General features: G+C 38.8%; 1 protein-coding gene across 11 annotated transcripts in view, besides 5 other annotated features; it reads right to left on the minus strand.

Annotated features, from left to right (window-relative positions):
* Positions 1–25319, minus strand: part of APP (amyloid beta precursor protein) — a 290579-nt gene that overhangs the window by 197996 nt on the left and 67264 nt on the right. For all 11 annotated transcript variants that reach the window (NM_001136131.3, NM_001136129.3, NM_001136130.3 and 8 more), the window contains one exon: positions 11398–11527. In NM_001136131.3, the coding sequence (NP_001129603.1) occupies positions 11398–11527 (130 nt within the window). The remainder of the gene's footprint in view (positions 1–11397; positions 11528–25319) is intronic.
* Positions 287–812: an enhancer, noted in NCBI's record as "H3K27ac-H3K4me1 hESC enhancer chr21:27451148-27451673 (GRCh37/hg19 assembly coordinates)". NCBI's record gives its function as "activates a minimal SCP1, AML or CMV promoter by ChIP-STARR-seq in naive H9 embryonic stem cells {active_cell/tissue: H9 hESC(naive)}" and the evidence as "EXISTENCE:reporter gene assay evidence [ECO:0000049][PMID:30033119]".
* Positions 1850–2715: an enhancer, noted in NCBI's record as "NANOG-H3K27ac hESC enhancer chr21:27452711-27453576 (GRCh37/hg19 assembly coordinates)". NCBI's record gives its function as "activates a minimal SCP1, AML or CMV promoter by ChIP-STARR-seq in naive H9 embryonic stem cells {active_cell/tissue: H9 hESC(naive)}" and the evidence as "EXISTENCE:reporter gene assay evidence [ECO:0000049][PMID:30033119]".
* Positions 2716–3583: an enhancer, noted in NCBI's record as "OCT4-NANOG-H3K27ac hESC enhancer chr21:27453577-27454444 (GRCh37/hg19 assembly coordinates)". NCBI's record gives its function as "activates a minimal SCP1, AML or CMV promoter by ChIP-STARR-seq in naive and primed H9 embryonic stem cells {active_cell/tissue: H9 hESC(naive and primed)}" and the evidence as "EXISTENCE:reporter gene assay evidence [ECO:0000049][PMID:30033119]".
* Positions 3584–4449: an enhancer, noted in NCBI's record as "OCT4-NANOG-H3K27ac hESC enhancer chr21:27454445-27455310 (GRCh37/hg19 assembly coordinates)". NCBI's record gives its function as "activates a minimal SCP1, AML or CMV promoter by ChIP-STARR-seq in primed H9 embryonic stem cells {active_cell/tissue: H9 hESC(primed)}" and the evidence as "EXISTENCE:reporter gene assay evidence [ECO:0000049][PMID:30033119]".
* Positions 5221–5758: an enhancer, noted in NCBI's record as "H3K27ac-H3K4me1 hESC enhancer chr21:27456082-27456619 (GRCh37/hg19 assembly coordinates)". NCBI's record gives its function as "activates a minimal SCP1, AML or CMV promoter by ChIP-STARR-seq in primed H9 embryonic stem cells {active_cell/tissue: H9 hESC(primed)}" and the evidence as "EXISTENCE:reporter gene assay evidence [ECO:0000049][PMID:30033119]".

Genomic DNA, 25319 nt, shown 5'->3' on the forward strand with positions numbered 1-25319 from the left:
TCTTCTACCCCAAGAATCGTAATAATAGCTGTCTGTACCACTCTAAACACTTCCTTAAATTTCATATTCTTCATCTGGCTACAATTATCCACATGGCATAAACCATAGAGCTCTCAATCCCAAAATCTTAAGTTTTGTCACACACAAATTCTGTTTTCTACTACAGCTGTCTGGAAAGTTATTTACTGGCTTGAATGGTTAAAAAAAACATCAAACTCGGCAGGGTGTGGTGGCTCACGCCTGTAATCCCAGCACTTTGGGAGGCCGAGGCGCGGATCACCTGAGGTCGGGAGCTCGAGACCAGCCTGACCAACACGGAGAAACCCCGTCTCTACTAAAAACAGAAAAATAGCTGGGCATGGTGGCACATGCCTGTAATCCCAGCTACTTGGCAGGCTTAGGCAGGAGAATCACTTGAACCCAGGAGGCGGAGGTTGGGGTGAGCTGAGATTGTGCCATTGCACTCCAGCCTGGGCAACAAAGAGTGAAACTCCATCTCAAAAAAAAAAAAAAAAAATCAAACTCAAGACAATATCTCAAGATTTTTATTTGCTTTGGAAAATGACACGATGAGAAGAGGGTTCTGAAGACAAAGGGGAAAACTGTTTCCTTTCTCTGCTTGGGGTAGGGACTGATGGAAACACAGTGCTTGAGAAAGATGCTCAGAAGCGGCTAGAGTAGAAAAAGAACTTTGAAGAAAGTCCACTTTCTTCTTTGATTCCTCATCATAACCATTTGTAATCATTTACCTCAGAATAAAAGAGAAAATTCCACGACAATAAACACAGCTTGAGGTTAGCTAGAAATACTGTTCACATTAAATTTATGGTAAAACAGCAAGCTGAAATGGTGTGGGAATTATCTAATAATTTCCAAGACTGAATTACGCAGCTATAAAGCAACAGCAGCTGTTTACTGGTTGGCCCAGAAAAGTTCACATTTCAGACCACCAGATCAGACATAACAGTATTAATTCCTCATACAGGGAGAAATTTTTGAAGACTCAACATAACAGAAATCCAGTGTTCAGCTGATACGTTATTAAATCTGACGGCATTTTTATGGCATTTTTAAACTATGACACAGCTTCAGGAAGTCCTGAAAACTTGAGCCTCTAAAGGCATTTTTGTCTTTTTTATACAACATAGGTGCAAAAAGCTGAAAAATGTGACCATGACCGTGTGAAATTTAAATTATACCTTACTTTTTATTTTTACTTCTGTGGATGCCAGTGTCTGTCTTAGTCTGTTTCTCCCTATATACACTGTATATGGAAACCAACTAAAAGCCTATCTAGGCCGGGAATGGTGGCTCACGCCTGTAATCCCAGCATTTTGGGAGACCAAGGTGGGTGGATCACCTGAGGTCAGAAGTTCGAAACCAGCCTGGCCAACATGGTGAAACCCTGTCTCTATTAAAAATACAAAAATCTGCTAGGTGTGGTGGTGCACGCCTGTAATCCCAGCTACTCGGGAGGCTGAGGCAGGAGAATCACTTGAACCCGGGAGGCAGAGGTTGCAGTGAGCCGAGATCTCACCATTGCACTTCAGCCTAGGTGACAGGAGTGAAATTCCGTCTCAATAAACAAACAAACAAACAAAGCAGCATCCATAAGAAATTAACACAAAATATGTTTAGCTGTTCATTTGAAAGCAAATGACTGGGGTTATAATTCACTTGTAACACTTAATAATCTCAAAGTTTTGATTTGTGAATTCCATTATCTCTTGGAGAAAGCTACAACACACATATAATTAGTGGTCTAACTCAAATAGTGCTGGAATTTCCTATAGAAATGGCTAAGCATGAATAACCAAAGTCGCAGGTGATTCCTAAGATTCTGCTCATTTTTTAAGTTTTTTTTTAAGTTTTTTGTTTCTTTCTGCTCATTTTTTTTACATGACTGAATTAAAATAGCTTTTAAAAAATTTCCTGCTTTCCGCCGGGTTGTGGTGGCTCATGCCTGTAATCTCAGTACTTTGGGAGGCTGAGGCGGGTGGATCACGAGGTCAGGAGTTCAAGACCAGACTGGCCAAGGTGGTCAAATTCCGTCTCTACTAAAAATACAAAAAAAAATTAGCCAGTAGTGGTGGCAGGCACCTGTAATCCCAGCTACTCGGTAGGCTGAGGCAGAGAATGGCTTGAACTCAGGAGGCAGAGGTTGCAGTGAGCCAAGATCGCACCACTGCACTCCAGCCTGGGCGACGAAGCTAGACTCTATCTCAAAAAAAAAAAAAAAGAAAAAAAAATCCTGCTTTCCAAAGATTACTGGTATCTTTTACTGGAAAATGGTTCCTAAAGACCATAATCTAGGTGCAGTACTGGTGTTTACCGCTACTGAGTTGGTCTTTTAGGCCTTTTCATTATTTTTAGGCCTGCAGCGGACAGTATTTATGGGGAAAAAATGTTATCTGAAATCTACAACAATATGTTATACTGAGAAATGATACCTAAAAGTCAAACTCATGACTACAGGGTATCTTTTTAATAGATTATATGTTACATGTGAATCTTCTTTTACCACATCAAAATTCTGATTCTCAAATACATGGGATGATTGAATTAAAATATCACACAACTATTCACTTATGTTACACCATATTACTTATGCACCAGGCTCAGAATTACACACTAATACTACCACCATTAATAGAAAAACAGTTGTTTCTTTACCCACATCTTCTTCTCATTCTTCCCCATTAAAGTTACTGTCACAACAAGGCTGTTTATTTCACCTGGGTGCAGGCAGGCTGAGTCCGAAAAAGAGTCAGGAAAGGGAGATGGGGTAGGGCCATTTTGTAAGATTCGGGTAGGTAAAGGAAAATTGCAGTCAAAGGGGGTTGTTCTCTGGGGGGCAGGGGTGGGGGTCACAGGGTGCTCAGTGGGGGAGTTTTTGAGCCAGGATGAGCCAGAAGAAGGAATTTCACAAGATAATGTCATCACTTAAGGCAAGGACCGGCCATTTTCACTTCTTTTGTGGTGGAATGTCATCAGTTAAGGCAGGAACAGGCCATTTTCACTTCTTTTGTGATTCTTCACTTGCTTCGGGCCATCTGGGCGAATACGTGCAGGTCACAGGGGATGGTTTAGCTTGGGCTCAGAGGCCTGACAGTTACAGAATCTCTTTATTGTCACAGCATGTAGCTGTGGAATACTATATTATCATACTTTTTACCATCGTTGAGTCTTAGTTTTTATGTTTCTCCTTAATGCTCATTACCCATCCTTATATCAGTTTTTCTCTAGGTATTTTGGGTATCTGAAACTTGTTCTCTAGCAGATTCTACAGGAAAATAATGTGAAAATATGCCCTGAGTTATTGTACGTTGATATTTATTTCATGTGATCATATCTGAATGTCAGTTTGATTGAATATAAAATCCTTGTTTTGGCTGGGCATGATGGCTCATGTCTGTAATCCCAGGACTTTGGGAGGCCAAGATGGGTGGATCACCTGAGGTCAGGAGTTTGAGACCAACCTGGCCAACATGATGAAACCCCATCTCTACTAAAAAGACAAAAAATTAGCTGGGCGTGGTGGCGGGTGCCAGTAATCCCAGCTACTCAGGAGGCCGAGGCAGGAGAATCGCTTGATCCCAGGAAGTGGAGGTTGCAGTGAGCCGAGATCACGCCATTGCACTCCAGCCGGGGCAACAAGAGTGAAACTCCATCTCAAAAATGAATAAAATAAATAAATAAATAAATAATCCTTGTTTTGCATTGGCTTTCTTTGATATGTTAAATGTTGCTTTATTTTCCTTTGGCATAAAGCACTGCTGTCAAAAAACTCTTATTAAAATATAGTTTCTTTGTAAGTGAAAAACAAAAATATTTCCTGCCCTCAAAAATTATAAACTTAGTTACCAAAAAGCAAAAAGTACTATGTGTATACATAAAAGCAATATACATTCATTACCATCTTGAAAACAATTATTTGGATATAAACTTTAAAATTATAAAATAATAGTATTCATTATAAATGAATGAAAACAGTAATGATTTTTAAAAACTACTACTCTTATCATGACCAATTACCTCTTCTTTTTGAAAAGTGAACTAGTTCCTACCTTAAAGACTTTGTTGACCCTCTGTCTGAATACCTAAAATACATCTCCTTTCTTGCCTTGAAATCTTATCCTTGAAATCTTGGCTCACAATGCTACTTCCTGTCAAGTCTTCCTTAAATTCCTGAGCTGAAATCCCATCCCCTTCAGGCCCACTATCAACTCTGTAAGAGGGAGGCCCACATTTCACCCACCTCCAGGGGCTCACACACTGTGGGTGATCAATAAAACGTACACAATGAATACGTAACTGACCTTTTATTGGTCAATTTTGTAGGACTTATTTCTCTGAGAATATTCAATTAACTACTTCCTAAGGTGGAAATTTGGAAAAGCAATATTTAAAATTGTTTAAATAGATTTAAATAGTAATTATTTTAAATGGCCTTAAGTAGAAATTACAGGCGCTTTTACTCTATCAATAAAAAAATCATAGCTAAATGTAGGGGTATCCATGCTTATGTTAAACTCAGGATCATAAATCAGTATTAAAATTTTCCTCCATATTTTCATAAACAATTATGTGGCGCATATATTTTATTACACCAACTATAAGATTTGCAAGGCATTCCGCCAATAACTGTTATATAAAAATCAACTAAACACAAATTTATCTACCAGGATGTTTATCACAGCATCATTTATAACAACTATTACACCACCACAAAATAAAGAAAACCACCTAAATGACCATAAAAAAGAGTAAACACATTACAGTGTCTGGTGTGATGCTACATTAAAAATTATGCTCTCCAAGAATATTTAATTTCACAGGTAGAGTATTCTAAAAATGTTAGGTGTAAAAAGCAAGTCACAAAACAGGAAACGATTAAATAACACTAAAAACAAAAGCAAAACATACATGAAAAAAATGTAGACTGCAAGGAAGCCAAATGGTTTTGATTATTTTTAGCTAGTGGTTGTATTTTCTCAACTTTGTACGTTGAATATATGTTACTTTTGTAATCAGAGAAATTTCTTTTGAGCACACATTTGCAATTCTTAGCATGTACTACAAATCAGATGTCCATTAGCCTTGCTATTCATTTTTCAAAGCAATTACTAACAAGCCTTGGGACAATATCATGCCAAATAAGCTGGGTTTCTTTTTCTCACCTATCATCTAGGACCTACAGAGATAGATAAATTCTGTGCTTCAAGAAAATATCAGCAAAGCCCACTCATAAGCCATAACAGCAGTTTTTCAAAAGTTATCGTTTCTTTTTAATGCCTCGTTACTTAATGACACCTGAATACAACTCCAGTAAAGAAGACAAAACTGAAGATGTAATGAAGTATAAATCACCCATGCTATTAGAGCTCTTATCAATCAAAACATTAGTTGTTAAAAGTCCCAGAAAGAGGACACAATACCAGGTACAATAATTAAAATGAAAAGAAACAAAACTGGAAACGGAGCCAAGAAACACCACTACGCTTCCTTCTTTTCAAAATGCGATTGTTAAAAAAGTCAGTCTCCTCAACTCATCCTCTGTCCTGAGTTTTAGAAAGCAAATCAAGCAGGAGCCAATGCAATTGAGGCAATTATGGAACTTGGGACAGGGCCAAGGAAGTGCTGCAGTGAGCCATGGAGGATGACCTACCTAGAAGGGCTCCATTTTTTTTTTTTTTTTTTTTTTTTTTTTTGAGACTGAGTCTCGCTCTGTCCCCCAGGCTGGAGCGCAGTGGCGCGATCTCGGCTCACGGCAAGCTCCGCCTCCCGGGTTCACGCCATTCTCCTGCCTCAGCCTCCCGAGTAGCTGGGATTACAGGCGCCCGCACCACGCCTGGCTAATTTTTTTGTATTTTTAGTAGAGACGGGGTTTCACCGTTGTTAGCCAAGACAGTCTCAATCTCCTGACCTTGCGATCCGCCCATCTCGGCCTCCCGAAGTTCTGGGATTACAGGCGTGAGCACCGCGCCCGGCCGAAGACACCATTTTTATAGGTGTTCTTGCTTAATCAAATGGAAGAGGGCTTCACTTTCTAAGTCTTCCTCACCCAGAAGGAATCTGTGAGATAAATGTAAGCTCTTCCCATTCTTCCTTCTGGCCTGAAACAAATGTGGCTGCCATATGCAATTTTGGAGGGAAAAAAAATTAAGGAAGATCAAGAATCTTCCTGAAGAATCAGTGATGATTAATGCTGCTTAAATTTTGTTGAAGATCGTATGAATGAACGTTATTTTCTTTTATTTTGGCATCATGGTGTTTTCAAAACTAAAGTGTATTTTCCCATACTGTATGTATAAAGCTCATAAAGTACAACTACCAAGAGATAAAACAAATTAATGATCATTCTGTGTCGACTTTCAAGTCTTTTGACTTTTTTCTATTATCCTTCAATGGTACTACATACAAATACAAAATTATATGTACTGATTTCATAGTCTATCTTTTGCTGATTATAAAAGCTACTCATTTATTATACAAAGTCATAGAAAATTGCTTAAATAAAATCAAAATCACCTGTAATCCCACTGTTGGGAGATAAACACTGATAAGATTTCTTTTCCGGACATGTTTTCTTTTACTTAGTATGCTGGTTCTGAAGCATGATTAACGTTGACCATTCAAAGGTCCCATGGGAAGGCCACATATAAAGGAGTCTGATGTCTCTCCAAGGATGGCTGATTAGCCTTTCCTGATGAAGAAATGCCCAGCAATTCTGGTCATTCCTTATGAGACCATGATGTAAACAATCAAGAACATTCAAGAATTTGCATCCTTCTTGTATGCAGCAGCTGGGCTCATTAAATAATGAGAATGATGAAGTCATCATTCTCATCACAGTGCATGTATAGGTCCCACACATGCATCTCCCATGACTTCAAAATTAGTAGGATTTCCACAGTGCAGGTCGGTGGGGAGAGGAGGCGCCATGGGCACCAATTCTCTAGCACACTGGATTACATACGGGGATTTACAAGATCCTTAAAGTCTACAATAAAAATGTTTTTCCATCCTCATCGCCATCTTTAAAGTTTGGTGAACTCTCATGTGACATTTCTGACTATTGTGTTGTACTGATGTGTCTCAAGAGAGTTGTTGTTTACATAAATTCAAAGAATTACCCTGGTATAAAATGTCACAGTATTCAAATACATCCTTTCCATGCTAAAGAAGATAGCTGTAGATAATTGATACAAAGGCAGCCAAGAAACCCAGAAAACAAGGCATGCTTTTCCTAAAATTGTATTAAAACAATAAAATTCAAAATTAATATGAATTGAATACCTTTCTCATTTGACCATATCTGATAAGATTTCTGGTCATTACTACTTACACATTTGGAAGGTCTTAATTACAAAATGAAACAGAATGACATTTAAGGTAAAATTCTTTCACTTGTAATTCCTTTTTTGGATTAAGCTATTAACCTGACTTTGCCCCAATAATTCAACAGTAATTTATTTTACGCAATGTTCCTTGCCTTTGCTGGTCAGAGACAAGTACAGAAAAGTGCCAATTTCAACAGTGGATCTATTACACCATGAAGAGCAGTCATTCAAATGGAAAGGGTTGAAAGCTTTGCAAAGAAAATATTCTCCTTGAGTAACAGTAATGATGTGCTTGAATCACACATGAGATAATTAATAAAATGTTCACATGATTAAGATGAATCTTACCCTCTGGTTCCAGAGGTACTACCAAAAGCAAAGGGTGAGATGAGAAAGCCAACTTATTCTCAAGGGAAATTATCCACTCCATGGGAAGAAAGTGGCAACAGCAACCTGACATACTTTCCCCATGCAGACAAGAAATGTATAGCACATATGTCCGAGGCAAAATATTACAGAAAAATAATCCAGTGCCACACTGGATCCTTCATCTGATAAAGAGGTTAGGAAGGTTGTATGCCACACATAACAAGCATTTTTCTCTCTTCAAGCTTTGTTTTGAATTTTAACACGCTTAATGTTTAAGATAATTTTATTTTGTTTGCTAGGTCAGTAAAAAAAAAAAACTCTTGTCTAAAACATATATTTGGATACAGTCAAGAGATTTTAGAGCATACTTATGTTAATGCTGAACAGTAATTCTTTGTTAAGCAGGAATAATATGTAAGAATGTTACCTACTACTACTATAAAGTAGAAAACATATCACATGGAGATTTATCCTATACTAGGTCATGGTTGTCTCCTCTGTCAACACAACGATAGCTGTGAGTTTCTTTTTTAGTGCTATTGTCTCTAATTCATAGTGAATATTTGTTTTAAAACAAATTTTTGTGTATACTGTAAAAAACACTGGACCAATAATCAAGAGAGCTTGGACTGTAGTGCTGACTCTCCCATTTATTTGCTGTGAGTTATAGCAAGAAATTCAACCTCTCTGGATCTTGGTAGTTGTATAGCCTGTGAAGAGAGACGAAGAACTAACACTGCCTGTCTATTAAGTGCAAGTAAAATGTACATCAGTTACACCTATGTCCCTATGTTACCTATGTTACACCTATTGGAAAACCTATGTTTTTCAGTTCCTTTTCCTGAAAGACAAGGCATGCTCTACATACTCTACCAGGTTATTTTATCAACTCTGTATTATACTCTGGGCTTGAGACCTTTGGAAAATTTGCCACTACCTAAGAAAAAAGCAGCACCTATATTCCTTAATTCTAATCTAAGGTTAATAACAAAGTAAGAGACAACATATGCTCTACTTGTCATATTAGGGTCTAATTTCAGGTCCAATGGAAAAGGACCAGTGATTCATAAAATGAGAAAATATGGTAAAATGATTCAACACGCCAAGTACCTACAGGAAATAGCAAATGATTATCTAGTCCCATAGTAGTCAAGAACAGTTAGTGTCAACGTGCTCATTTCACATCAGACACAACCAGAACTGAGAAATTTGCTTAACATGTCACAAGTGACCCAACTTTTTGAATTATGTACCTCCACATCAAAGGAGCCCAGAATCTGTTCGGAGGATGAAAGAGAAATCTGATAATGGTTGATGGCAAAGCCTTGGCAGGAATAAACTCCTTCCCTGAGAAAGAATTATTTTATAGGCTTCTCTCCATTTCTCCTTGCCAGTCTCCAGCCTGTGCTTCACAGCTGGGTAATTATCTGTCAGTGGAATGATATATTTTCAAGTGGTTCTCTTTCCATAATGGTTAAAAACATAAGGTGAGGACAGGTCATTAACTTTACTATCAAACAGGTATTTGGTAGATGAGATTAATTATTTAAAACCACATTACTTAGGCTGTTGTTTCCCTAAATGGTGCATAATGCAGTGTAGCACAACAAATACAAATATTTGGACAGTCTCCGTGTAATTATAATATTATTATAAAATCTTCTGACTTGATATTGAGATCTGAGAACATCTTTTATATCCTTTATTACTTGTTGTACTGTTCGTTCACTTGGAGGTTTTTTTGTTTGTTTTTGTTTTTTTAAGAGACGGGGTCTCATTATGTTGCCCAGGCTGGTCTCTAACTGCTGGGCTCAAGCAATCTTCCCACCTCGGCCTCTTACAGTGCTGGGATTATAGGCTTGAGCCACCACACCCAGTGGAAGGAGAGCTTTTCAGAGATGAGGAGGCTTGAAGAGCAGGGGCAAAGGAAGTGATCAACAGATAGGATAAAATAGACCTGGGGTTCAAAGGATATTTGCTACAACAACTGGCACTAGGTAGTAAATAACAATCTTAATGTGGATTTCATCTTTCCATCAACTTTAATACAAATCATTCTGAATAGAATATGAAGCAGAAAAATCTATGTAAAATGATAAGTTCACTTCTGAAACATGACTGCAGTTTTGAGTGTCATACCAGGAGCAATAATGCCCATCCAAAGCCCTACCTGTTCTCAGTGAGCTTACATTCTAATGAAAATATATTTGGAATACTTCATAGAACAGGTAAGTAAGAACCAAAAGAAACAAATCATTAACAAAGCCTGGCCCATCAAATTAACAGACTCATGATCTACTTCCTAACTTGTACTGAATTGTTCAATCTCTGTGTGTTATTTCTTGGTGTAATAACTAAGTGAGTATAAAATACACAGTTCCTGGGGACAGATGACTTCTATATTTTTTTGAGTAGGAGTTCTGTATCTAGAATTTAAGTGCTGCTTATTTTCATCTAATTAAACTGCACTTTTTGATGAACCAGAAAAGAGTTGAGGCCTTATAAAGCATATAGGAACAAGGAATAAGGAGGAAAAAGGAAACTCTTGAATTATCAGATGTTTAAGAAATCTAGTTTTCTACACTCTCTTCATCAATTACATTGTAAGTAAATTCACCAGGTGAAATCTTCTTTCTAATGCCCAGTGTTTTCATTTTATGTCTCAAATTATGCACATGAATGAACAGCAATCAGTATGCTCTTAGGACATTCATTTTTGACCATATATTACATAGATCTCCGGAATCTTCAGTAAATATCCTTACTTTGTAAGTTTGCTGTTGGATTTTCTTTGAAATATTCCTTTTAACCTTTATAAGAAGTCATCAGAATATACATCAATATTTGTCCACAATCTCCACAGACAATCTCTATATCCTTATTTACAACCTGCCTACTGATGAATACACTTGTGGAAAACATCTAGATGTAAGATACCAGAGCAAAGAACTTGACTTCTGCAATGACTGGTCACATAAAAACAACAACTAGGAACAGACTAATAACCAAGTTAGATTAAATATGGAGTATGACAGTTTCCAGAGGAAAAGAGCACGATACCACATAAAACTACTCAATTTTTTTAAATAAAATGTTGAGGTAAATTTGAGGTTTGTGACAAAACAAACATTAAACATTAGTAATCAGACTGTTTCCTCCAGTTTGATGTAAGCAGAAAAAAAGCCTTCCCAATTCCAATTCCTCTACTATCACCAAATAAGAGGAGTAGTTATTGTAGAACAGCCTTTTTTTTTTTTTTTTTTTTTTTTTTAGAAATTAACAAAATGCTGCAGCTTCACATTAGATTCTTTCTTCTAGAAAGTCTATGTGAAGAAACACACAAGGCCCCTGTTCATGAGAATCATCTATGCGATACGGTAAAATAAGAATTCCCGGATCCGCTACTATAGGCATTTTTCATTCAGGAGTCCTGGAACTGGCCCAGGAATTTGTAATTTCAATATACACCCTGGGTAAATTCATTCTGAGGCAGGGAACTCAAAAATACTGCTCCTATAGGGTCAGTGCACAGAATGTAACTGCAAGAGTCCAAAACACAGTACAACACAGAGTGGCAATGTGCTGAAGAACAAGTCTGTGTATGTGACCTAACAGGAGCATCCTCTTTTTCTTCCCTCAAGACCAGGCCCCCAATCAACACCAGCCCCACGGCCGGCCGGCTCACCTAAGCAGCGGTAGGGAATCACAAAGTGGGGATGGGTCTTGCACTGCTTGCGGCCCCGCTTGCACCAGTTCTGGATGGTCACTGGTTGGTTGGCTTCTACCACATTGGTGATCTGCAGTTCAGGGTAGACCTGGGAGAGCACACAAAAAGAATCAATTGTTACTTGAGGCAGGGGCTGGCATTTACAAGCATCTAACAAGCCTCCACTGTAAGGTACAGGTGGAGTGTCCCTTATCCAAAATGCTTGGGACCAGAAGTGCTTTCAAGGTCTCTGACTTTTTCCGATTTTAGAACATCTGCATTATATACTTACTGGTTGAGCATCTGGAATCCGGAAAGTCCAAAATCCAAAATACTCCAATGAGCATTTCCTTTGAGCATCATGTTGACATGCAAATAGTTTTGGGTTTTTGAGCATTTCGGACTCTGGATTTTTAAATTTGGGATACTCAACCTATACCACTATCCACTAAGAGTCAAGCCTGCTCTACCTCTGACCAAGCTAAAGAAATTCAGTACAAAGAAAAAGATAGCAAATGAACAAGCATCTAGCTATTCCATTCAAAATATTAAGCAATGCAACTTTTTAATTTATTGTACTCATTTAGACTTAAAATATTATTTTTCCAGGGGAGCTAAAATAGAAACAAGAGGGGGAAAGGAGGATTCTTACAAGCATGGGGTGATTTTTGATGTGAAATAAATTGGTGTAGGATAATAGTCTGTAATGTCCTAAACAAACGTTACAGTAGATATGGCTGGGGATATTATGTTTAGTAAAATTCAACCTCCCCCTATCTCTCACTAATCGGACAAACATTTTACAGGATATGACACATAGAAAGCTTTCTATATAAAAATCCTGCTCTTATTCCAAGTAATTTACATGAAAATAACTTATCGAAAAGTTATCAAGGGTGTCATTTAGATAAAAATAAACTCATGAATTCTCTTTGCTCCTATAACTAACTACAGCCCCTTGCTTTGATTACTGTTGTGAATACATCATGGTGTTTAACTGAGCACTTAGAATGAAATGTGAAACTTGATCAATTAAATCACATTTGTGAAATATCAAACCACTTCTATTTATTAATGAGTAGAGATTTGAAAGAAAAACATAAACATAAAAATCTATTTCGAAAATGTGCATTCCCTTGCATAAACCTTGCATTGCAACAGGGTGGTTGTTTTGCCAGATAAATAACAACGAATAGAGAAGTGACGGTATAAGCAAGGGAATGATTAGAATGCTGGGCCATGCAATCTCAAGTGGCAAAAGTGAGAACATGAGGGGAATTAGACACAGGTAAAAGGTGGTAGGGACCAGTGGAATCTGAGTCCACTGATCACACTCCAGGGGCTAAAGAATGTATGGCGCACAGGACTGGAGAAAGTGAGGTGGTAATAAGTAGTACTTGGAGAGTCAAATAATTGAAATTAAAATTTTGGAGGAGTTGCAGTGATTGGTCATTGCAAGGAGTATAATATGACCATTGTAAGCAATGGGTGATGGAGAATGATGAAAACAAGGTCACTGGAGGGATGAGAATCATGAACTGACAAATTGGAATACTGGAAGGATCATTGAGATCAATATTAGGATCACTTAAGAATCAGCAAATGAGCAGCTACACCTGATGACAGCAAGGCAGGAGCTAAAATCTTCAAAGTCTGAATGGTGAACATCGATGAGGTAGAAAGAGGTCTGGAGATGACCAACAGGTGGAGGAGCAAAGTGATTTGTCTGAAAGCATGCACTTCAAGCTGAGGTAGGGGGGCTTTTAGGGAAGAGAAAGGAAGAGTGGTTTGGAAACAAAAATGAAGAGGAAAAGAGGAAATGAAGAGGAAAAGAGGACATTCCCACCTCTAGGGGCAACGCTGTGAGGATTTTGAGAAAAGAACTTCGACCTGAGAAGGCTACAGGAGAAGTAGTGCCTTCCTTGGAGGGAGAACAAGGTTTCTGAGCAAGATAACATCCATGGGGAGTTAGACGATACACGGAATTTCACTCACAATTGTCCATGACATTCAGAGGGCTTGACAAATCTAAATTAATAATCCCTTATCTTTGAATAAAAGTAACTGAATCAGGCTGAATTTACTGCTTCCATTTTAATAAGGCAGTAGGAGAACTATGCATGGCTTGATGTCAATTGAGCGTGACTCAATCTCTGTCTAAAAAGTTGATATTTTGTTCATCATGGAGTTTTTTTGCAGTAATTTTGATTTTTAAAAATATTACATTAAAAATTCTTAATCTCAATTCCTGACTGCCTTGTTTACCTCACCTTAGTCCCAGACCCCAAAAAAATCAGTTAAAAAATAAGGTACTGTGAATGAATAAATAACACTGTGGGGTACACACCTAGAAAATGGAATGTCATTCAACACTAAAAGGAAATGGGCTATGAACCCATGAAAAGACATGGAGGAACTTAACTAATATTGCTAAGTGAAAGAAGCCCATCTGAATAGGCTCCATACTATATGACATTCTTCCCACTATATGACATTCTGGAAAAGGCAGAACTATGGAGACTAAAAAGATCAGTGGTTGCCACGGGTTTGGGTGGTTGGGGGCAGGGGGAGGATGAACAGATAGAGCACAGAAGATTTTTAGGGCAGTGAAACTACTCTGTATGGTACTACAATGATGGACATATGTCATTATACATTTGTCCAAACCCAAAAAATGTATACCGCCAAGAGTGAACCCTCAGGGAAACTATGGACTTTGGGTGCTAATGATGTATCAATGTTGGTTCATCGATTGTAACAAATGTACCATTCTGTGGGGGATGTTTATAATAGGAGAGGCTAAGCATGTGTGCAGGTAGCAAGTATATGGGAAACCTCTGTACCTTCCTCTCAACTTTTCTGTGAATCTAAAACTGCTCTAAAAAACCGTCTATTTTAAAAACAAAAATTTAAAAATAAGGTATCAATCAGTGTAGCAGCAGGGGATAAACTCAGTGGTAGAGGTATATGCTAAGAGAACACACAAAGAAATCTCTAAATCAGAATCCTGGGGTGGGTGCTGAGAGAGTTATTCTTGAAACCACTGCCACAGTAACCTAGCTCCAAAGGGATCCTGCTATTAATACTTCTCTTTATTTTACTTTGTTCTTAAGTATCTTAATATCTCAATGCAGGCACTTTAGATCACAGAAAATGCTCTAAAAATGCCACTAAAAATTTAATATTCCCATGGCTTTTTTCCTATATAATGAAAGGTGAAGTGGCTTTTTGTACAGGAATATAATTCTCCCACCGTCTTTACTTGTTTATTAGATCACAAAGCTGCAGCACTCATGAGTCATAAACTGTATGACACCTGAGAGTCCACCCTGAGGGACATGACTTTATGTGCAGTAAAGTGTGAGTTACTGCATCTTTCTAAAGGGTTCTTTTCACTGAAAGACAACCCTGCTGAGAATTTCCTCAGGAGTCATCGGTTTTCTATAAACCCAGTGGCAGGCATATTCACATCATGGTTCCCTCTATACAACTTAAAACCAACGAATTGTTTGTAGGGTACAAACTGATTACCAGGAGAAAAGGATCTCTTTTTCATGTTGGTTGCATACCATCTTCAGATTCCTATGGTAATAGTTGGTGCAACAGGGCAGTAACTGATTAGGTTGACTATTTCCAAGTAGGTAGAATTGCAAATTGACAAATTAAAATCCATGAAGACGGGGCTTTTCCCTAAAGACTAGTACTAGAACTTTATACAGTGATCAGCCAAACACAGAATTTACTTCCAGTTCCCACCAGGAAATCTAGAACATGCGTGTTATTTTCTGTGCTTCAGCTTCTCTCTCTATAACACCAACAATGACAATTGTTAATATGCAGATGGATGTGGAGATTACAAAATTTGAACCAGGCCGGAGACAGTGGCACACACCTGTAATCCCAGCACTTTGGGAGGCCGAGGCGGGCGGCTCACGAGGTCAAGAGATCAAGACCATCCTGGCCAACATGGTGAAACCCTGTCTCTACTAAAAATACAAAAATTAGCTGGGCGTCATGGCACACGCCTGTTAAGTCCCAGCTACTCCGGAGGCTGAGGCAGGAGAATCGCAGGAACCCAGGAAGCGGATGTTGCAGTGAGCTGAGATCACACCACTGCACTCCAGCCTGGTGACAGAGCGAGACTCGGTCTCAAAAAAAAAAAAAAAAAAATTTGAACCACATAAAGCCCATGCATAGTTTTTTCCTACTGTCCTATTAAAATGGAAGCAGTAAATTCAACCTGATTCAGTTACTTTTATTCAGAGATAAGGGATTATTAATTTAGATTTTCCAAACATAATGCAATTTTGCTGTTCCAACATCAGGAGGTTTATTTAAGGGGGAGAACATTAGCAATCAAGGTAACAAAACTTCTTCTGAAGCAGAGCAAGACCCTTTTGATAAAGCAACTGCCACATGCACAGCCAACTCCCAGCTCAGAAAGCAAACAACGAAACAAAACAAAAAAAGAAACAAACACGTTAAAATTTAAAATTCCAACAAAAATTCCCAATATCATCCCTAGGTTTTTATTAAATAACCCCAGTAAACATCCAGAGAGGAAAAAAAGCCTTTTTATGTTTACATAGATATAAAAATATTTATATTTATATAAAATATAAATATATAGCTCATTTATAAAGATATAAATATAGTTCATTTATATTTAAAGATATAAATATAAATATAGTTCAACATTTTAGACAAGAATAAAAATTTCATCAGAAATACAAATGTTCTCGTGGCTAGATTAAGTTCCTGATTTTTATCATAACTATAGTAGTCCTCCCTTATCTGTGGTTTTGCTTTCCATAGTTTCAGTCCAAAAATATTAAATAGAAAGCTCTATAAATAAATGAGTTTTATTTTTCTATTTATTTAATTAATTTATTTTTTTTTTGAGATGGACTCTCACTCTGTCGCCCAGGTTGCAGTGCAGTGGTGCAATCTCAGCTCACTGTAACCTCCATCTCCCAGGTTCAAGCGATTCTCCTGCCTCAGCCTCCTGAGTAGCTGGGACTACAGGCACCCACTACCACACCCGGCTAATTTTTGTATTTTCAGTAAAGACAGGGTTTCACCATGTTGGCCAGGATGCTCTCAATCTCCTGACCTTGTGATCCACCCGCCTTGGCCTCCCAAAGTGTTGGGATTACAGGCGTGAGCCACCGTGCCCGGCCTATATTTAATTTTAAGAAAGAGATAGGGTCATCCTATGTTGCCCAGGCTGGTCTCAAACTCCTGGCCTCAAGAGATCCTCCTGTCCTGGCCTCCCAAAGTACCAGGATTACAGGCATGAGCCACCATGCCCAGCCAACAATAAGTTTTAAATTGCGCACCATTCTGAGCAGTGTGATGAAATCTCAAACCCACACAGTCCAGAAAGTGAATCATCCCTTTGTCCAGCGTCTCCATGCTGTACATGCTACCTGCCATTGATCACTTCATCACAGCGCTTGTGTTCAAGTAACTCTTATTTGACTTAATAACGGCCCCAAAGTGCAAGAGTAGTGATGGTGGCGTAGTGTCATAATTGCTCTATTCTATTATTAGTTGTTGTGAATTACTTACTGTGCCTAATTTGTAAATTCAACTTTATCACAGGTATGTACCTATAGGAAAAAAACATAGTATATATTGGGTTTGGTACTATCTAAGGTTTCGGGCATTCACTGGGGGTCTTGGAAGTTATCCTCTGCAGATATAGGAGGACTACTGTAAGTATCGGTTCAATGTTTTAATATTTTCTTTGCAGCATCTCAAATCTTACATAGGAAATAAAGATAAAAGTTCCTTAAGCTGCTTAATTTGCATGTGTTTTCCAAAACATACATGTATTGCTAATATGACAAGCATTGCAAATAATTTGCTAATACAGCAAACATTAGCAAATCCTAACTCTCATACTCCCCTTCTTTTCTAAAATGTTTTTTATGTGAAACCCAATTCCAACTATTTCCTTGATTTTCCTTTTTAAAAAAGGACTCGAGATACTTATACTTAAAGCAGAAGCAAACCCAAGCCTCTGTCAGCTAGTAGAAAAATAAGCTGTCCTCAAGTCCTACAAATTTTCCTAAATTATAGCCACACAGAGCATTTGCTGTATAAATACGTACACTGTGTTCCAAACACACTCTTACCTAAGATCCCTTAGACTACACTTCAAATGCCTACGCCCATTAGGGTCCCCCCACATGGACAAACCTCCTCTGCACACAGTGAAATAATGCTAACCCCTCTTACAGAATGTTTTCTGGTATTTATCAGTGTGCCTCACATCGCTATTAAGTTTGTATCTGTACTGCCTGCCTGGTGAAAAGAAGCTTTCCTCAAGGGCAGAAAACATAACGTGGCATGTTATAGCCTCCCCGTGGAGCCCCACATCCATCATCTTTGGCTTTCAGACTATCAGGAGGCTGCTGACCCCCAACTCCTTTTATGTGGTGCTCCCACCCTCAGCTCTCTGAAGGAGGACTCATTAGTGACTGTATTTCAAACTCTGCAGCACCATCCCCTATAGCTTATTAGAGCCCAAGAAAACCAAACTGTACGTAGCATTCTTTCCCTCAAGGGCTTTCACGAACACACAAAGGCTGTCGTTAGATAAGGAAGAAACTTGACTGGAGGTGAGCATAAGTCTGAGCCACAGGTGGCATGTCAACACCCATGGGTGCATGGTGGCTTGCGCCTATAGTCCCAGCTACTCGGGAGGCTGAGGTGGGAGGACAGCTTAAGCGAGGAGGTCGAGGCTGCAGTGAACTGGGATCACGTCACTGCACTCCAGTCTGGGCAACAGAGTGAGACCCCGCCTCAAAAAAACAAAAAACAAAAACAGAACGTAACAAAAAAACAAAGAAAAGCCCCCAAAAAACCATGGGTGGACTCAAACTAGGCATCTGGAAGAAGCAGTTAGTCCAGGAAAGGAAAACAGGGAATACTCAGAGAGACAAGGGAAGATGAGAAACAGACAAGACTGGATCTGGCAGAGACCGGATCTGACAGGGCCTGCCTGTGCCCTCTAACTCTTTTAAGTCTTGGGATGTGCATTTGGATTCTAGGAGATGCCTTGTCCCCTTCAATAAGCCCTATTTCTAAACATAAGCTCCTTTAGTAGCTTTATGCTCCTTCCAATTGAACAAAAGCCAAGAAAAAGGCCCGGCTTGCATGCTAGTTCACTAATTCCCACCACATGATGCCCTCAATCTCTGTGCGCAGACCATTCTGTCCTACCACTGCATCCTCCACTTGCCTTGATCACTTTATCTGATCCCTGACCACTTGCTACCTCCTATTCTGCTGATGGGCTGTCTGTCCTATTAGAATATATAATCCTTGAAGGCAGGGACAATATGATTCATCTGGTGTTCCCTCAACAGTGGCAAACCCTGGGATAGCACAGTAAGTGTCTGATAAGCATGTAATTAATATTTCTGGTTAAGGTCAGAATCCATTCAATCAGGGACTTTCAGTATACATTAAGTTCCCTTTGGGTATTATAAACCTATCTCTTAAATAAGATATTCTAAATAGTTGTTGGATTATGGGCTTTTGAGGGAAAGTAAGTATCTCAATGCCTTTCAATATTGTTCTTCCAAGTAGATATGGACAGCTTATACAAATCATAGCATCTGCTATAAGCAGTAGATTACTGTAAATAAGCACTCAGCTGAGGAAGGCATTTAGGAAGAGTGACAAGTTAAGCTCTCACTTGGGCTAATGGGGCCCATTCAGTTAGTACAGGAGTCTGAAAAGCAGCCTACCTACCTGGTCATACAGCCATGTTTTATCATTGAAAGTGAATGTATCAGTACATGAAATAATTTTAAGAGTGCATAGGCCGGGCGCGGTGGCTCAGGCCTGTAATCCCAGCACTTTGGGAGGCCAAGACGGGTGGATCACAAGGTCAGTAGATCGAGACCATCCTGGCTAACATGGTGAAACCCCGTCTCTACTAAAAAATACAAAAATTAGCCGGGCATGGTGGCAGGCGCCTGTAGTCTCAGCTACTTGGGAGGCTGAGGCAGGAGAATGGCGTGAACCTGGGAGGCGGAGCTTGCAGTGAGCCGAGATCGCGCCACTGCACTCCAGCCTGCGAGGCAGAGCCAGACTCTGTCTCAGAAAAAAAAAAAAAAAAAAAAAAAGAGTGCATAAGAAATTCCAAATCCTAACAACCAGGAAAGAGGGGGAATAGAAACAATCTTAGATCATATTATATTAATATTTTTATATATAATAATTATTATTAATATTAAAAGCTTATCATCGGTAGCCTAAGTAGTTTTGTCTACTGAAGAAATACCTTAAAACCTGGTCACCATCAGAATGTTTTGTTCCACATTTTAAAAATCTGAAGTCTCTCTTCTCACTATCTCTCCAAGTTGGAAATATATTGATCTCAGACAAGATGACATTTAAGTTGCTAAATACGTAAAGCAAGAAAAGACATTGATGATATTTAAGAAAGCCAAGAAGAGAAATGTATATATTAAAAAAAAACTTTGTAAAGCCATATGTTGTCAGAGTCCTACAGAAACTTTGTCTCTATTCCCAACATTAAGGGCAAATGGAGAACCGAAAAGTCCCTTTTGTAAACAGGCCACCTAAGACAGGTGATTAATGCCAAAAGTCCTAAAATGACCAAAGGTATTTCAAAAACACAAAATCAAACATGGCTAACAAAAGGCTGAAAACAAAGTTAATGAACAGAGTAAATGGAATTGGAAATTGCTACTAATTCTGAAAACAGTTTGCCTACTTTTCTACTTAGTCATTCAATTTTTAAAATTCACCTTTAGCCAAATTCTTATTTCTTTTTGAAAACGCTAAAAATTATGTGGTACTAATAAAATGTTTTAAATATATTAACAAAACGTCAATGAGTAACATGTGATGCTTTAGCACATCTTAATTTACAGGTCACTGAAAGAGATGAGCTGAAACCCGCATGTGTTTTGCCAGGATTGCTGGAGAACCTGAATAGTTAAGGGAAAAAACCTGCATTCCAGACTGACTCAGGAACAAGACTGACTAGATTTGATCATTACTGCAATTCAGTGACAGATAGATGGGAGGGTTCATTTTACTATTCTTTCTACTTGTACATATGCTTGTAATTTTGCATTTAAAGCACTGAAAATTTAAATAAATACATTTAGTCCAGAGGAAACAGCCAGGTTTCTAAATTTATAACTGCATGTGAAAAAGGAAAAAAAAAAAAACCCAGATCCAAATTGTGTCTGCATGACTGCAGCTAGCATATATGAATATATACATGAAACAGAGAATCAAATGCTCTATACCAAATTGTTTCAGAGATAGCCTATCTTGTATATTTTCATCGTCTCAAAGCTTTTCCATACCAGTCCCTTTTTCAAAGAACATATCCAAGAAGAAAGTAAGAAAAATGTCATAACTGAGGGTTTCCTAAGTACCAGACATCACTGCAAATGTTTTATGTGTAGCACATCATAATCCTGAGTTAGTAATTACTCCAATTTATTTAAGATGAAACTAGAACAACTAAAATCGATGCCATTTCTAAGCATTCAAAGAGTATATTAATCATAAATTTTAAACTACTCGGACTTAGGCATATAAACCAAGACAAAGCATGTCCTAGACAATATATACTTCTGTTTCTGGATTTCAATGACATTCTTTAAATTTTCCTGGAATACAAAGAAATATCACATCTTAAACTATTCTCAACAAAAATTCTTTTAATAATGAGGAATACTGAAAATACAATCTCTAACTTAATTGAGAAAGAGAACTGGAAAACGAAAACGTTCTCTGCTTGCAACTTAATGAGGCGCTGAGAGGCAGCGTGCAGCTGATGAAACGCTACTGCAATAATGGGAGGTATCAGCATGCTATGTTTCCAAATGATGGCCTTATGTAAAAGCAAAGGCGGTAAAATGCTGCAGGGCGTTAGAATATTTCCCAATAATCTGGCCAAACTCTGCTTCTGACATTCTATATAAATATATTGTTATATCCACACTTTCATACTCAGAGTTGGAAAATCCTGTCAAAGAACCTTGTTTGATAGATAAGCTATTCTAATTTCAAAGTGTTGAATGAAAAACAAATTGTGGGTGGGAGGGAAGAGATGGGAGAGAAATAAAAATAAATAGGACAGGACACAATTGTGAAAACACAAGCAGATGTGTACACATAGCCTAGATTTTCCTATTCTCTCTTTCAATGTAGGGCTAATTTTCTTATTTTAAAATATCCAAACTGGCTTCAACTTTTTAACCCTAGAAGAAATCTACGGTCAGTAAAGCAATCCTTACATTTATACAGACCAGAAATGCATAAAATATATCCACATATAGACAGCCTGATCCCTCCATTCAAAAACTGTCTCACTCAATATGAATTTGAGATCTTTCAAATTCCAAAACCACAATGTATACGTGCCTATGATTTGCCAATTTTCAGCCTACAAGGGTGAAGGGTGCCCATAGCAAAGTAATAATGGTCAAGAATGTACCAGACCTTCTACCATAGGATAATGTATATAGTATACCTTCCAACTCGGTAAGATTAAAAAGACTACCTCTGTTGTTTGCTTTTTATTTAATTTTAATTTCATACAACTGTAGAATGGAAAAAGAAAGGTTGAGAAACAATTCGTGTCTGGGAATCCCATGTTCAGTTATGTATTTTAGAGGAGAAAGTTGGGCAAAGGAAATGGTTTTGCTCAACTCATCTAACAGGCAGTTTCTGCTTTGTGCAGGCACTGCTGTGCTTTGTTTGCTGATCCTGTTAATCTATAGATTAAGCAACTGTTCATTTAAAGCCAGAAGGTTAAAAAGGCAGAGAACAGATAATGTTAAATGGTGGGAAAGAAAACAGGAAAAAGAGAAAATACCCATAAACCAATAAAAGAGATGATAAAGCCACGTTCACCTAACTTTCCCAATTGGAAATCTCTGCCTGCATTTGAGGCTTAACCTGTTCAAAGTTCCCTCCAGAGACCTGCCCTGCAGTGTAAGTTACCAGAGACATCAACACCTTCAAGAAGCCCCTAGACCCTAGCCCCTAGCTCCAAGAAGTGCACTGCATGTTATTAAAAGAATAGAGAGGCTGGAAGAGCCTGTTTCAAGTTATCTCTTTTTTTTTCCTTTTTTTTTTTTTTTTTTTTTTTGGGATGGAGTCTCACTCTGTCGCCAGGCTGGAGTGCAGTGGCGTGATCTCGGCCCACTGCAACCTCGGCCTCCGAGTTCAAGCAATTCTCCTGCCTCAGTCTCCCGAGTAGCTGGGACTACAGGCGTGCGCCACCATGCCCATCTAATTTTTGTATTTTTAGTAGAGACGGGGTTTCACCATGTTGGCTAGGATGGTCTTGATCTCTTGATCTCGTCACCAGCCCGACTCGGCCTCCCAATGTGCTGGGATTACAGGTGTGAGCCATGGCACCCGGCCCAAGTTCTCTCTTTAAAAGAGGAAGAATAGTATGGGGACTCATCCAATTTCTTGTTTAACTGACAATATGTAACTCTTACAACACTTGCCTGTGTGTTTCTATCATAAAGTGAGGATATGGTTTAAGACTGTGAGGATACAGTCTAAGACTGAACAGGCAGCCTTCCTGGACTGCTCGGGTGACAAAGAGCAATGATGCCCTTAATACAGCACCTCAGGATATCATGAATGAGGGGATGGACAGGATGATCTCCCACAATGCTTTTCACACTATTATTTTGTAATTTGAATTCCTTCTCTCCCCAATCTAATCTACTCTTGGAAACAAGCTAATTTTTCTAAAAGTGTCTTGACCAGAAAGCATTCATGCTAAAAATCTGCCATAGCTTCCACCTATCTCCAGAATAAGACCCTCCAATTTGCAACCTCATTCTACCTTTGCAATTTTCTAAATTTTCTTCACAATTTAATTGTATTAATAGATTTATAAGGTCCTTATGGGCCAAGAATGGTATCCCGCCACTCAGCAACACCTGACACAAAAACCTAACAGTGCCCAATAAATATAGACTAAATTTGCCTGTATTAAATTTGGGAAGAAATAGATTCTTGAGATGTAGAATTGAAGTACACTTCCTTTATTCTTCTGGAATCCCAAAGCCTTTGGTTTAAGTAAAACTATGTGGTTTTTTTTTTTTTTTTTTTTTTGGAGCCGGAGTCTCGCTCTTGTCGCCCAGGCTGGAGTGCAGCGGCGCGATCTCGGCTCACCGCAAGCTCCACCTCCCGGGTTCACGCCATTCTCCTGCCTCAGCCTCCCAAGTAGCTGGGACTACAGGTGCCCACCACCACGCCCGGCAAATATTTTTGTATTTTTAGTAGAGACAGGGTTTCACCGTGTTAGCCGGGATGGTCTCGATCTCCTGACCTCGTGATCTGCCCGCCTCGGCCTCCCAAAGTGCTGGGATTACAGGCGTGAGCCACTGCGCCCGGCCAAAACTATGGTTTTTAAAAAATTTCATTTCATCCCAAAGAAACAGGACAATAAAATCTAACAATTCTAACTTTTAGCCCCTGGTTTTAGAATATGTTTCAAGGGGAATATTATTTTTGTTTTGTTCTATTTATATTTATAAATTCCTCAGGCCAAAATTTTGGTACTATAATAGTTTATTAAAGCAAGTGGCCACTTTATGCTGTTAAATGATGAATAACTGCCAGGCACAGTGGTTCGCACCTGTAATCCCAGCACTTTGGGAGGCCAAGACAGGTGGATCACTTGAGGTCAGGAGTTCGAGACCAGCCTGGCCAACATGGTGAAACCCCATCTCTAGTAAAAATACAAAAATTATCTGAGAATGGTGTGGGCACCTGTAATCTCAGCTACTTGGGAGGCTGAGGCACGAGAATCACTTGAGCCCAGGATGCAAAGAATGCAGTGAGCCAAGACTGCACCACTGCACTCCAGCCTGGTTGATGGAGTGGGACTCTGTCTCAAAAAAAAAAAAAAAAAAAAAAAAAAGATGAATAATTGACGTAGTTGTATTCGAGTTGTTTCCATAATGCTATGAGAGATACTTTTTGCTTCTAGTATAAATAACAGAGGAAAAGCACTGTTTTCTATCAAAGAATGTCAAAAGAAAATAACAACTCAACAGTCTACTGTGGTCATCTATGATTCACACAAACTACCCTAAACACTAAACAAAAAGAACAATATAAGGATTTTGCATGCTTAATGTGTTTGGAAGCATACTTTGTAATATTACAACCAAATATTTTAAGTCATACTATGGATTTATGACTTTACTATTGAATTATCATGGCCTTTGCATTTGAAGCGGATAAAAACAAACTGAAGGCAAATCTGGACTACACGCCAACATTCCACCAACTCTTGCCTAAACATGTCTTTAGAATTCTGTCGATGGAAGGCTGGGTGCAGTGGCTCATGCCTGTAATCCCAGCACTTTGGGAGGCCGAGGCAGGTAAATCACTAGAGTTCAAGACCAGCCTAGCCAACATGGTGAAACCCCATCTCTACCAAAATACAAAAATTAGCCACATGTGGTGGCGTGCACCTTGTAATCCCAGCTACTCAGGAGGCTGAGGCATGAGAATCACTTGAACCCAGGAGGCAGAGGTTGCAGTGGGTTGACATCATGCCACTGCACTCCAGCCTGGGCGATGGAGTGAGATCCCGTCAAAAAAAAGAAAAAGAAAAAAAAGAATTCTATCAATGGATAGAAATGGTCTCTGCAAAAGGAAAGTATAGGCTCCATTTTATGGGAAGCTCTCTCAGCATAAGCTGGATACAGAACTCCTGCCCATTACCGCTCCAATCTCTGTGCCAGAAACTACCATCCACAAGCATTTACCTAACGACGACTAGCGTGCTCTAGGTCAGAGCTAAGTGTTGGATAAAATCCACTGTAAGGCATGATCCCTAGAAATGTTAATTCTCACAACAC

This window comes from Homo sapiens, chromosome 21, assembly GCF_000001405.40.
Source record: "Homo sapiens chromosome 21, GRCh38.p14 Primary Assembly".
Classification (NCBI taxonomy): Eukaryota; Metazoa; Chordata; class Mammalia; order Primates; family Hominidae; genus Homo; species Homo sapiens.